Source organism: Homo sapiens, chromosome 21, assembly GCF_000001405.40.
Source record: "Homo sapiens chromosome 21, GRCh38.p14 Primary Assembly".
In the NCBI taxonomy this organism is placed as follows: Eukaryota; Metazoa; Chordata; class Mammalia; order Primates; family Hominidae; genus Homo; species Homo sapiens.
In genome coordinates this window covers 7,119,273-7,134,444 of record NC_000021.9, presented here as the reverse complement: position 1 = coordinate 7,134,444, position 15,172 = coordinate 7,119,273, and the positions used below count along the sequence as shown (strand labels likewise).

General features: G+C 38.7%; 1 pseudogene; it reads right to left on the bottom strand.

The window, feature by feature from the left end:
• Positions 1–543: 543 nt before the first annotated feature.
• CTBP2P10 (CTBP2 pseudogene 10) lies at positions 544–7,212 on the bottom strand (annotated as a pseudogene).
• Positions 7,213–15,172: the final 7,960 nt, after the last annotated feature.

Here is a 15,172-nt window from a genome sequence, read left to right as displayed (position 1 = left end):
TATGCAAGGGTTTATTTCTGGGATCTCTATTCTGTTTCGTCATCTATGTATCTGTTTTTGTGGCAATACCACATTGTTTTTATTTTTGTAGCTTTGTATCATGATTTTGAATCAGAAAATGTAATACCTCTTTGTTCTTTTTAAAGGGTGTTTGGCTAGTCACCTGTCCTAAGCAACGTTTAGAATTATACACAAAAATTCTGCAAAAAAAATACCATTGGGATTTTGACAAAAATTACCTTACATTTTTATATCATCATGAGTAGTACTGACAACATTTTTTTTTTTTTTTTTTTGGAGATGGAGTTTTAGTGAGTCACTCAGGCTGAAGGGCAGGGGTGCGAGATGTGCTCACTGCAGGCTCCGCTTCCCAGGTTCAAGCAATTCTCCAGTCTCAGCCACCAGAGTAGCTGGGATTGCAGTCGTGCACCATCACGTCTAGCTAACTTTTGTATTTTTAGTAGAGATAGGGTTTTGCCATATTCACTAGGCTAGTCTCAAACTTCTGATCTCAAGTGATCCACCCACTTTGGCCTCCCAAAGTCCTAGGATTACAGGCATGAGCCTCATGCCGGCCCTGACATCTTAACAATATTAAATCACCTGACACTTGAGCAAGACTATATGAAAGATTTTGCTTAATTTCCTCTTATTTACATATTTGCCACATTTTCTTGCTTTTGAATTCTAGTTTCATTTACATTGTATGGCTTCAGTTTTCTTAAATTTAATAAGACATGTATCCTAACAGAATGTACCATGTGTGATTTAGAATATTGCAGATTTTGCTCCTTTAAATTGGAGAGTTCTGTAAATGCTGGTTGGGTCTATAATGTTCAGGTTTGGCTTTCTTACTGATATTACTTCTGACTATTCTAGTCATTACTGAAAGTGGAGTCTTGAAGTCCACCATTGTTGTGTTGCTATGTATTTCTTGCTTGACTTCTGTCAATATTTGTTTTACATATTTGAAAGACGAGAATCAGTTGAACCTGGGAGGAGGAGGTTGAAGTGAGCCTATCGAGAGATCATGCCACTGCCCTCCAGCCAGAGAGAAAGAAACTCTGTCTCTAAAAAAAAAAAAAGAAAGAAAGATGTCAGTGCTATTTATAGTAATACAAAAATTTAATGTAATTTTTGTCAAAATCTCAGTGGTATATTTTTGCAGATTTTTCAAATTATATATATATGATTTATAAATTATTGTTATAGATTCCTGGAAAGTTAATCCATCTCACCATTACATAATACCAATCTCTCTCGGCCGGGCGCAGTGGCTGACGCCTGTAGTCTCAGCAATTTGGGAGGCCGAGGCGGGTGAATCATGAGGTCCAGAGATCGAGACCATCCTGGCCAACAAGGTGAAACCCCATCTCTACTAAAAAGTACAAAAATTAGCTGGGTGAGGTGGCGGCGTGTGCCTGTAGTCCCAGCTACTCGGGAAGCTGAAGCAGGAGAATCGATTGAACCAGGGAGGTTGTGGTTGCAGTGAGCCGAGATCGTGCCACTGCACTCCAGCCTGGTGACAGAATGAGACTCTGTCTCCAAAAACAAAAACAAAAACACAATACCAATCTGTCTCTTGTTCATATTTTTGATTTAAAATATATTTTGTTTAGTATAATTATGACCATGGCCCTCCAATTTTAGCTACTCTTTGAATAAAATATATTTTCTTTATACTGTTACTTTCAACTTATTTGAGTCCTTAGAGCTGAAGTGACTCTTGTAGAGAGCAAATTGCTGGATCTTCTTTGTTCTTAATCCATTAAATTATTTATTAATTTTCTTTAAGGTATTTAACTTTTTATATTTGAAGTAATTACTGCATTTAATGAAGTTACTTTATTATTTGTAATTGTCTTCTGTGTTTCTTGTAGATGTGTTATTTATCATTTTTTCTCTTACTGCTTTATTTCTGTTTGTTGATTTTGTAGTGACGTGATTGAATTTCTTTCTCATTTGCCTTTGCATACATTCTACAGGTTTTTTTTGGTAATCATCCTGAGAAATAAAGACTTCATAAATCATCTTAAAGTTATGACAGTATAGAACAACTATATTTCAACTGAATGCAAAGTTGTACCTCTTGACACCCCCACTGTTTTATTAATATCGCATATTATCTTTCCTTATGGTCTATGATCACAAATTTATGCAGATTTCTGCCTCATGTTTTAAACTCCATGGCAATATTTTGAAAGTTTTGTGCACCATGATTATGACAGTAGAGATTTCTTTACCTGTTTATATATTTACCTTTAATAGAGAGCTTTCTATTTTCATGTGCTGTTATGATGCTCTGCAGCATCATTTCATTTTTGGACGTGATAGACTCTTTTACACTTCCTTTAGGACTGTTCTAGTGGTTAGTAACACAATCAACTTTTATTTATTTGGAAAGGTTTAGTTTTTTTATTTCTGAAGTGATATTACTCCAGTTGAAGGTTTTTGTTTGGAAGTATTTCTTCTTGTTTAATTATCTTGCCATGTGGGGATTTCTCAGCTACTTTTTAAAAATAACCTCTTTATTACTTTTCTCCTATATTGTTTTTGTAAGACTCCTTTCATAAATATAATGGTCCACTTGACCATGTGCAGTACTTCCCATACTTTTTCCTCCATTCTGCTTAAAAAATTTGTTTTCATCACTCAATATTTATAACTACAATGTCATCAATTGTGTAATTTTTTCTCCTTTATTAGTCTGCTTTTGTGACTGTTGATTAAATTTTTAATATAGCTATTATGTTCTTCAGATTCACAATTGTTGGTTTTTAAAAATCTTTTTATTGATATCTCATTTTCTTTATGTATCACTTCTTCTAATATTCTTTTGTTGTCTATGTTCTGTTTTTGTTCATTAAGCAGTTTTTTCTAATCACATTTTATTGAAAACTGCACTGAATGCTAAATGTCCATCTTTACAATAAACAACTACAGTAACGGTAATTCGCACTACACTAAAACAAAACGTACTTCTGATAGCCATTATTTTTCTGTTTGGGACAGTCTTAAAAATTTCTCTTTTCTTACAAAAACGGGAATGTACCTAATCAAAGGATCAAAACAGGCCATCTTTTTAAACAAAAAGACTATATTCACAAAAGACTATAAATAGAACATGTAACTAATTGATGCAAATCTAATATAATTTGTTAAAATCAGTCACATCCAATACAGCTGAAGTGTTCTTGTATAAAACACAACGTGAAGAAAAGAAGACTTTATCAATGTCTTAAAAAGTGGGTTTGTTCATAGACAATCTGACAAGTTACCATTAAAAGTGTTTCCTGTGACATAAGAAAATGCAACACTATTTTTCTTGAACCCTTTTAGTGCAAGACTTCCCACTAAATAAAATAGCAGAGGATCTGAAACTGAGAAAATATACTTGATTACAAACAGCGTGTGAAACTTAATACTTTTTTTTTTTTTTTTGCATTATCAGAGGCTTTTACTGAACTTACAACCAACTTGCCCGCTCAGTATGCAGTTCAGATGTGAGAGACGCTTCTCTGTACAGGAGCCGGTACTGTCTTCAATCTTATGTGTGAGGATGTCTACCATAGGCAAACAGTTTACTCCATATTTTCTAGTAATGTGATCTTCCTATTAACAAAATGCTGTAACCAGTCCCTGTAGACTGAAGGGACTCAAGTCACAAGATGGGGATTTCCTCCTCATGGTTTTTATTTTGATGTTTGAAGTCTTGATGCAACATTCTGAGCAGGGTGTTCCAGACCTGCTGTGCCCAAGGGACTGATAAAGGAAAAAATTGTATTCATTCTTTGTGATTTGATGCACAGATGAAAAACTAAACACATAATAACGGAAGTTGGTGGTTAATAAATCACATCCTAGTCTTTCAGAGCTTCCGTAAGCAGACGACATCTGCAGTTTTCTAGGTCTTGCAGTTTTAACAGTGCAAAACCAATGAGCATATGTCCAGAATCAGCTAAAAAGAGCGTCAGATTCTTTTTCTCTTAGTTTGTCTATTTTTCACTGTCTCTTCTTCAAAAGTGTATCTGAATGATTACCTTCCGGCATTCTCTGTTATTACTCGTTGGGGTGCTCTCGATTGTCCCCGTGTTTGAGGGCTGGTTGGGAGAGGGTGCTTGGGAAGGATGTGCCACTGTGGGGAGTTTGTGAGTCACCGGGATGCCTCCAGGGAATGTCCCTTCCATGGATGCAGGAAGTCCTCCTGGACCCACGCCCAAGATGCCTGGATGAATTTCTTGCTGGTCTATTTCCCACCAAAGCACAGATGTGACAAAGAATTCCTCGTTCACACAGTTTCTTAAGCTTCCTGGGATGCGACCTGTGATGGCTCGGCGGAGCTCGGTGGCAGCTGTCTCCCTCATCTCCAGTGACACCTGCTGGCTGTAGCAGGCAGTGAGAGGAGTGCAGATGAGATTGGGGGCATCTTTCAACGGACCCTGAGCAAAGCTAAAGGGCTGCGACTCGTTCACGTCGACGACTGCCCTTCGTATCCTGCCTTCCTTGAGGGCCTGTGCTAAGGCTCTCTCGTCCACCAGGCCACCACGGGCTGCGTTCACAAGGAATGCTCCCTGCCTCATCTGCTTTATGGTAAAGTCATTGATGAGGTGGTGCTTAAGTTCGTTGAGACTGCAGTGCAAGGAGATGCAGTCGCTCTGATACAGCCAATCCTGCAGGGTGTAGACCCTCTGCATGCCCAGGGACTGCTCGATCCCATCCTGCAAGTAGGGGTAATAAAACATGACGCTGAATCCAAAGGCTGTGGCTGGAACTGCAAAAGCCTGCTGCGTGCGACCCTAGCCGATGAGGCCCAGCGTCTTCCCACGAATGCGGGCCACTCCCGAGGCCACCTCGCAGATCTGCTCCATGCTCTGAACCCGCTTGCCTTCCCACAGTGCCTGGTACAGCCATGTGTTCCTCCGGTACATGTTGAGAATGTGGCAGTTGGTGGAATTGGCTGTCTCTTCCACGGCTGCGGACGGGATGTTTCACACAGCAATTCCGAGCTCGCTGGCAGCCTTGATGTCCACGTTGTCATAGCCACTGCCCACCCCCACGATCACTCTCAAGGACTTGAAATTTGCCAGAACCTCCCTGGTGAGGTGATTGTGTGGTGCATCATGGGGCCCACGGCTCTGTTTAGAACTTTCTCGTGGATTTCCTGCGTGGACTGCATCATAGAAGGCCACGGTGGCCTTCAGGATGGGCATGTCCACAGTGCAGTCACGGCCGACCAGGAACGCTGCCAGTGAGCGGGGGCTTAGGGGGTCTTTCGTGATCTGGCGGCGAATTCCTTCACAAATTCTGTCCAATCGCTGTCTCTTGACTTAGCGCTTATCCACAGGGCCATTCTTTACGGAACTTTGCAACTCTCAGATCAAAAGGTAAAGCAGTCCTCTAAGAACTTAGGGGAACTCGCAGGAGTCTGTGTGCATGATGCCACTATGAACCCAATATAAATTTGTTCACAAACTCTATAGTTCACACGATGGGCTGTCCGTCTCTTTAAGGGAATATAGCTTCATTGGTTCAAAACCATTTAAGGTGATGAAACCCATTTGGTTGCAACTCAGCCACCATCGCGCAGTCAATCAACGAATCTCACCACGACCCCAGGTCTGGAGCTCCTGGAGTCCGCGACCGCTGGGGGTGGAGGCGGCTTCGGCCTGGTGCAGCCAGGTCCTTGCTCCTGCTCTGAGCCTCGGGCGTGGGTTGGGGGTCCACCCGGGTGTCCCGCATGGTGTCTAAGCTCCTCCCTTGCCGGAGCCCTGCGGACTGGAGGAGTGTTCATATCATTAAGGAGCTTTGATAATTATTTTGATTTTCAAAATTATATAATGCAAAAACAACAACAACAAAGAATAAACCTACAAATTTTGACCTTTAAAAGTCAACAAAGATTTTTAAAGATCAATATTTGTAGGTTTATTTTATTTCTTCAATTGGGACATGTTTTCGTCCTTTTCTGTATGCCCTGCAATCTTTTGATGAGATTCAGAAATTTATAAAACAACTGTGTAATGTAGTATGTACAAACTTGCTTACTACAAGATAATACAACAATCAGTGAGGCTGTACATCCTGGTTCTTCATTAACAGTGTCTTCAATGTGTCTTCTCTGGGCTTGTGTGTGGATTTTTAAGGTAAAGATATTTTTTCCCATTGTTTTCCAGACACTGTGGTCCTTTGCTTCCGCAGTTGATTGTAGTGTTTGTTTCTCTGAGGCTGTGGTAAGCATGTAACTTCTCTTCTCAGCAGTCATAAGTTATCATTCTCATTACTCTGCCATTTCCTTTAGCATTCCCTGTTTGGGGAGACAGAATCTAGTCATCAGCGGTAGCCCACAAAGCCAAACCTTTGAACATATGTTCCACTGTTCTCATTCTATACTGAGGGATATACTAAAAGTTGGACGTTTTCTCTTGAGCCCAATTGCTGTTCTGGGAAAGAAGAAGGGATGTGGTGAATATAAGCCAGACCTGGTTGCCTCGTACAGCAAGCTTTTCCAACCCGCCTTGTTTTGTTTTTGTTATGGCTCTGTTTTGTTTTAGGTTTTTAGCAGCCTGCAGCAATGGTTTTTGGGTTCTGTGTCTAGTGATAAGTGGAAAAGGGGGATGAGGAAAGGGCCTTACTGGCTCAACCAGAAACAGAAACTAAGAACTCATGGCTGTAGTCTCCCGTGGATGCCCCTGTCCTACAGTAAAGGAAATGTCTTTGGAATGTAAAAAGAGAGAGAATAATAGGCAACACCCCAATAGGGAAGAATAAACAAATAACAAAGATGAGAGGTGCAAAGGCCAAGGAGAAAACCTTAAAAATGTGGTGTTGGAAGTTCTGCTTCAAAGAAATTGGTTCTGGAAAATTCTAAATTTACTTCTTTTGCTGCCACAGGTGGAAATTTCCTACCCTATGCTTATTATGCTCTTAAATCTTCTAAGGCTTCTCTGTTCATCCACTAACATTCCAGGGCATTCACAGTGACAGCCAAAGTTCACCTCTTCTTTCTGCTATTCCCATGAAGCTCTTGTGGTCTGAGTGCTTTTCCATTGTTTTTGGGATCTGAGGAAATCTGCACATTTTGTGAGACTTCTATGTTAAGCTGTTTTGTAAAAATCTGTGCCTCATGTCAGAAGTTTGTGAGAGCAAAAGTGCAGGCATTGGGGTTTGGTTCACATATTTCAGAAACACCAAGGACAAATGTTTCCTCCTCATAATTTTCAGTCCTATTATTTCAAATGTGTTCCTGCAAAAAAATCAGAAAAAAAATTTATCAGAGCCCAAAGCACCTCAGCAGATATGATAAAGTTGAATCTTCTATTTCACTTTATTCTTTTTTTCATCTCTGGTAATGTAGGTCAAAAAGTTTTCTTTCCCTTAGTAGAAACTAACTTAGAAATGTGAACTCTCTATGCCAAACATATCACCTATGGAATAGTTTATTGTATCTACTCATCTCAAAGAATTTTTAAGGACCTTAATCCATAGAAAAACTTAGAAACATGCCAGGAATAGAACAAATTCTTAACTGTTACATTATTTCTTAATGAGTTATTTTATTAATTAATCTTATATAAAGCTTAGTGGGACTGTGATCTGTATGTTTTCCCTGTCCTGTTTTTACGTATGTCAAATTAGCCTATAACTTTAGCTTCAGGGGTTTCAGAAAACATACTTGAATTTATGTGTTATATAAAAAGTGAATTGGATGATATGCACATCACATTAAGAAAAGTTTTAGTTTGTGTCTAAGTTCACTGCATAGAAAAACTTATCATTAGTGTTTCCATTTACTTTCCTCAACATTTATCTGAATGATAGTATAATTTATTTCTAATTGCTTATTATATTGTAGTTTTCCACAGCATATTTTACAATATTCATGTTGTTCCCATATGTAAAAATGTAAGGCTTTTCTTTGTTTTAAAAATAATAAATTATAGGCCAGTGCTGTGTTTCATGCTTGTAATCACAGCACATTAAAAGGTCGAGATAGGTGGATCATGAGGTCAGGAGTTCAAGACCAGCCTGGCCAACATGGTGAAATCCTGTCTCTACTAAAACTACAAAAAATATCGCCGGCGAGGAGCGGTGACTCAAGCCTGTAATCCCAGTACTTTGGGAGGCCGAGACGGGTGGATCACGAGGTCAGAAGATCAAGACCTTCCTGGCTAACACGGTGAAACCCCGTGTATACTAAAAATACACAAAAATTAGCCGGGCGTGATGGTGGGCGCCTGTAGTCCCAGCTACTCAGGAGGCTGAGGCAGGAGAATGGCGTGAACCAGGGAGGTGGAGGTTGCAGTGAGCCGAGGTCTCGCCACTACACTCCAGCTTGGGTGACAAAGCGAGACTCCATCTCAAAAAATTAAAAAAAATAAATAAATTATAGCCTTTCCATTTGTATAAAAAGAGGAGTAATATATTAAGAACATAATAAAAAGTGTCTCTAATATCATTGAAATCTTTATTAAAATTTTCTTCTAAATGCTCTTTATGGGAGATTATAATGTATTTGTTGTGCAATTTTGTTACTCTAACCATATGCTAAGAATTCAAAATCTGCTCTTTATGGGAGCCCAGTTATGGTTGAACATGCTAGTTATCTGGAAAGAGTCTTCTTCCGTTGCATGCTTTGTTTATTCGGTATTTCACAGGCTAATGTTTATTTAATTTTATTTTCTAATATTATATATTCTTGTATTTCCTTGTTAGGATAGGCTGCCTTACATTATTTAATTGTGTTTTTAGATTCTGCCTATATATTATAATTTTGTATGACTATATTCAACTGTGTACAGTTGAATATGAATCAGTCAAATATGAATCAACCACACGTCTATTGCCAACATAATTCTCTGTTCATTTGCTTGTATAAACATTACTCATACTTTATTTATGACTTGTGTATTTGTTTAATTAGTTGGTGGTCAATTATTTTTTTAATCCTCTCTGGGTGAGTAGTTGTGGAAATTGTCTTAATTTCCACTTCTATATATTAATGAATCTATATTACTTTTGTGTTGAAGGAAACACTTCTGTGATTTGAAGTTAATTTTTTTTTACCTCTGAACTTTTTACTGGCCTCCTGCTCCCCAAAGGGACCTTGCTTCTGATGGCTTAGCACAACAAAAAGTCTGTATTGTTGGTCTCAGACACCACTTTCCCGTCCACTATCCTGCGGGGGCTGTTCTTTTGGATAGCTTGCAGGTATTTACTGCTGTCCAGAGCATCCAGGAGATTGAAATCCTCCCCGTCTTCTAGCAGGCGGCAGTAAGTGGCAATCTCAGCCTCCAGCTCGACCTTGATGTTCCACAGGTCCTCGTGCTCTTGGGCGTGGTACCTCTCTTCCCGGTTTTGGGATAGCTCTGACTCCAGGTGCAGCAGGATCCTGTTGAGCTGCTCCATCTGCGTCTACCTCCCTTAGGCTGTTCTCCAAGCTGACTTTCAGATATCTCATTGAGTCCAGTTCGATATCCAAGGACTGGACTGTACATCTCAACCCCCTGAGCATCCTCTCAGCAGCTCCGATCTCAGCGGACTGCATGGTGACTACTCTGGTGCTCTCCTCAGTCTGCTGGGACCAGTACTTGTCCAGCTCCTCTCAGCTGTTCTCAGCCATCTCGTCATATTGGGCCCAGATGCCTGTCATGATCTTGCCAAGGTCCTGAGACTTGGGGACATCTACCTCCATGGTCAACCAAGAGCTGGAAATCAGGTATTATAGACCTTTAACTTCCTCCTCATGATTCTTCATGAAGAGCAGCTCTTCCTTGAGGGCCTCCATCTCTGTCTCCAGCAGAGGCTGACTGACACTGGTGTTATCAGTAATGTCGCACTCCACAAACTGGCACATGGCCAGGTCTGTCTCACACTTTAAAGTCATCAGCAGCAAAATGATCATTGTCAGTCTGCAGGATGATGCAGGCACTGTCTGCAGCAGTGGCAAAGATTTTTTTATTAGTCTAATTGTCTGTCTTTATGCTAGTAACATAAGATTTTGATTACTGTAGATTTCTAACATGTCTTGAAATCAGGAATTGTAATGCTTCCAACTTTTTTTATGTGGTCCCCTGAAATTCCGTATACTTTGGGGAGTCACATTCTCTGTTTCTGTCAAAAATAATATTAAGAATTTCATAGGGATTGTATTAAATCTGCAGCTCACTTTGGGCATTATAGACACGTTCAAAATATTAAATTTTTAACTCTTGAACAAAAACATGTTGAAGAATAAATTGTTTAATTATCATGTATTTGTGAATTTTATGAATTTTCTTCGGTTATTGATTTCTAGTTTTAATCCATTTTGGTCAGAAATTATAGTCTGTAGCCTTCAGTTTTTATTATACTTTAAGTTCTAGGATACATGTGCAGAACGTACAGGTTTGTTATACAGGTATACATGTGTTATGTTGGTTTGCTGCACCCATCAACTCAACATTTACATTAAGTGTTCTCCTAATGCTATCCCTTTCATAGCCCCCCACCCCCAAACAGGCACTAGCGTTTGATGTTCCCTGTCCTGTGTCCACATGTTCTCATTGTTTAACTCCTACCTATGAGTGAAAACATGCAGTGTTTGTTTTTCTGTCCTTGTGATAGTTTGCTGAGAATGATGGTTTCCAGCTTCATCCATGTCCCTGCAAATGACATGAACTCATCCTTTTTTAAGGCTGCGTAGTATTCCATGGGGTATATGTGTCACAATTTCTTAATCCAGTCTATCATTGATGGACATTTGGGTTGGTTCCAAGACTTTGCTATTCTGAACAGTGCCACAATAAACATACGTGTGCATGTGTTTTTATAGTAGCATGATTCATAATCCTTTGGATATATACCCAGTAATGGGATTGCTGGGTCAAATGGTATTTCTGGTTGTAGATACTTGAGGAATTACCACACTGTCTTCCACAGTGTTTGAACTAATTTACACTCCAACCCACAGTGTAAAAGCGTTTTTGTTTTTCCACGTCCTCTCCAGCATCTGTTGTTTCCTGACATTTTAATGATCCCCATTCTAACTAGCGTAAGATGGTATCTCATTGTGGTTTTCATTTGCATTTCTCTGATGACCAGTGATGATGAGCAATTTTTCATGTCTGTTGGTTACATAAATGTCTTCTTTTGAGAAGTGTCTGTTCATATCCTTTGCCCACTTTTTGATGGGATTGCTCGTTTTTTTCTTGTAAATTTGTTTAAATTCTTTGTAGATTCTGGATGTGAGTCCTTTGTCAGATGGGTAGATTGCAAAAATTTTCTCCCATTCTGTAGGTTGCCTGTTCACTCTAATGATAGTTTCGTTTGCTGTGTAGAAGCTTTTAAGTTTAATTAGATTTCATTTGTCTATTTTGGCTTTTGTTGCCATTGTTTTTGGTGTTTTAGTCATGAAGTCTTTGCCCATGCCTATGTCCTGAATGGTATTGCCCAGGTTTTCTCTTAGGTTTTTATGGTTTTGGGTCTTACATTTAAGTCTTTAATCCATCTTGAGTCAATTTATGTATAGGGTGTAAGGAAGAAATCCAGTTTCAGTTTTCTGCATATGGCTCGCCATTTTTCCCAGCAACATTTATTAAATAAGAAATCCTTTCCCCATTGTTTGTTTTTGTCACATTTGTCGAAGATCCAATGGTTGTAGATGTGTGATGGTATTTCTGAGGCCTCTGTTTTTTTCCATTGCTCTATATATCTGTTTTGGTACCAGTACCATGCTGTTTTTGTTACTGTAGACCTGTAGTATAGATTGAAGTCAGGTAGTGTGATACCTGCAGCTTTTCTCTTTTTGTGTAGGATTTTCTTGCCTATGCAGGCTGTTTTTTGGTTCCATGTGAACTTCAAAGTAGTTTTTTCCAATTCTGTGAAGAAAGTCAGTGGTAGCTTGATGGGGATAGCATTGAATCTGTAAGTTATCTTGGGCAGCATGGTCATTTTCATGATATTGATTCTTCCTTTCCAGGAGCATGGAATGTTCTTCCATTTGTTTGTGTCCGCTTTTATTTCATGGAGCAGTGGTTTGTAGTTCTCCTTGAAAATGTCCTTCACATCCCTTGTAAGTTGGATTCCTAGGTATTTTATTCTCTTTGTAGCAATTGTTGAGTGGGAGTTCACTCATAATTTGGCTCTCTGTTCATCTGTTATTGGTGTATGGAAATACTTGTGATTTTTGCACATTATTTTGTATCCTGAGACTTTGCTGAAGTTGCTTATCAGATTTAAGGAGATTTTGGGCTGAGACAATGGGGTTTTCTAAATATACAATCATGTCATCTGCAAACAGAGACAATTTGGCTTCCTCTTTTTCCTAATCGAATGTCCTTTATTTCTTTCTCTTGCCTGATGGCCCTGGCCAGAACTTCCAATACTATGTTGAGTGGGAGTGGTGAGAGAGGGCATCGTTGTCTTGTGCTGGTTTTCAAAGGGAATGCTTCCAGGTTTTGCCCATTCTGCATGATATTGGCTGTGGGTTTGTCATAAATAGCTCTTATTATTTTCAGATGTGTTCCATCAATACCTAGTTTATTTAGAGTTTTTATCATGAAAGGCTGTTGAGTTTTGTTGAAGGCCTTTTCTGCATCTATTGAGATAGTCATGAGATTTTTGTCATTGGTTCTGTTTATGTGATGAATTATGTTTATTGATTTGCATATGTTGAACCAGGCTTGCATCCCAGGGATGAAGCTGAATTGATCGTGGTGGGTAAGCTTTTGGATGTGCTGCTGGATTTGGTTTGTCAGCATTTTATTGAGGATGTTTGCATTGATGTTCATCAGGGATATTGTTTTTTTGTTGTGCTTCTGCCAGGCTTTGGTATCAGGATGATGCTGACCTCATAAAATGAGTTAAGGAAGATTCCCTCTTTTTCTCTTGATTCGAATAGTTTCAGAAGGGATGGTAGCAGCTCCTCTTTGTACCTCTGGTAGAATTCCGTTGTGAATTCGTCTGGTCATGGACTTTTTTTGGTTCATAAGCTATTAATTATTGCCTCAATTTCAGAACCTGCTATTGGTCTACTCAGAGATTCAACTTCTTCCTCGTTTAGTCTTGGAGGTGTGGATGTTTCCAGGAATTTATCAATTTCTTCTAGGTTTTCCACTTTATTTCCGTAGAGGTGTTTATAGTATTCTCTGATGGTAGTTTGTATTTCTGTGGGTTTCGTGGTGATATCCCCTTTGTCGTTTTTTATTGCGTCTCTTTGATTCTTCTCTCTTTTCTCCTTTATTTGTCTTACTAGTGGTCTATCTATTTTGTTAATCTTTTCAAAAAACCGGCTCCTGGGTTGATTGATTTTTTGAAGTGTTTTCTGTAACATTCAATTTTTTTTAATTCTGTTAAAAAATTTTTTTCCTTATATTTATTTTTAGGACAATGTTTTATGAGCTTTTGACAAGACTGTGAGTTTTGTTGTTGTGTAGAGTGATCTCTATGCATCTGTTACATCTAACTGTTTTACAGTATTTTCATGTCCTCTGTTTTCTTCTTAACATTCTCTCTGGCTTTATTATTAATTACAGAACTGGTGTATTAAAATATTGTTCTCAGTATATTGCAGTTTTTTGTTTATGTTCTGACAAAATATTATTGATTTATTTTAAAATCTTCATGTGAGGTTCATATATATGTGTGTCTGTATACATAATTAGATAAATACACACAATTATATAAATGTATATTATATAAATGTATATAATTTTCCTAGGTTTCCAGTGAATAAACTTTTTTATTATTTTGTCCTTTGTTTTCTTTGACAGTTTTAACTTATAATTTATTTTATAAACTAAGACAGTTATTTAAAAAGTATTTTGCATAATGTGCTCGTGACGTTGTCTTCATTTCATTACGATTTGCATAAAATTGTTTTGATGCATCTTGCCACTTTTAGTCTGTTTTTGTTACTATATAGTAAGATGGCTCATATCTGTCATCCGAGCATTTTAGGAGATTGAGGTGGGAGGTTAACTTGAGCCCAGAAGTTTGAGACCAGCCTGGGAAACAAAGCAATACCATGTCTCTAAAATAAATAAATAAATAAATAAATTGAATCCCCTGTAGACAGATGTAGTTAGATTTTATTTTATTTTTTATCTCTGTACTCTATTTATGACTTTTGTTTGAGAAGTTTAGTTTGTGAGTAGCTACATAATTTCCTGCATTTGAAGGAATTACTTTTGACACTTTTTGGAGTAAAAGGTAAATATTAAATTTGAACTAAATTGGACATGGACTCAAACAATGGTCACCAAGTCCCGGAACAGGTTGTGTGAGCCCCTTGAAGCCCTCATCCAGCGCTGTTTCAGATAAATCTCTATTTCAATTTATTCCTATATCTTAGTTATTGAAAAACAATAGACAATCAAAAAAACAAGTTGACCTTTTTGTGTTCCTTGAGCCCCGTTGTGAATAGCCTTCCTGACCGGACTTCATGCCAAATAACTCATTACAAAAAGAGCTGGGGTTCCAGACTGCGCCAAAGCTTCATGAGATCTCACGTTGTCTGTGGACGGATGAGTGGCCAATCTGGAGCCCAGGCTGTTGCTTCACAGTCTTGTGGTGAATCCTCCATAGTTTGGTGAGTTTAAATATATATATATATCTTTTCCCTTCTCCCCGTCCCATTGCAACTTGCTTATATATTTGCTTATTATATCTGCATTGCCATTTAAGTGGGATAAAGTTTGTTTGAATCACTGGCTGTGCGTGAGGTGCAGCAGGGAGTCCCAGTTGGTAATTGTAATGCTGAGGGAATTTCCCAGCATTGATGATGCTTGCTTACTTCTTATAAGTTAAAGTGTCAATGTAGGGACTGGTTGTTACAAGAGAAATGTAAGCTGGAAAAGGAAAATTTTAATCTGACTTCCAGACTGACCCTGGTACCATGCCAGGCCTGTCTTGACTGATCAGGCTCAAAGCTATCAGCCTATTGCTGAAAAAGCAGCTGTCCGAGTTGCCCAGTCAGGGTAAAACTGAATAACTAGTCAGTTTTCAGGGCAGAAGAGGGTAAAAACCCAAATCCTATCTCAAGGATGGGAAGTTAACTCTAATAAAATTCAATGGCCTGCACAAAGTGTAAAGTTCCTTGGCATCCTATGGACTGCAGGGAAACAGTCCATTTTACCAAAGGCTAACGCTAAAATACTAGAATTTGCAGCCCTACCACTGAAAAGGAGGTCCAAAA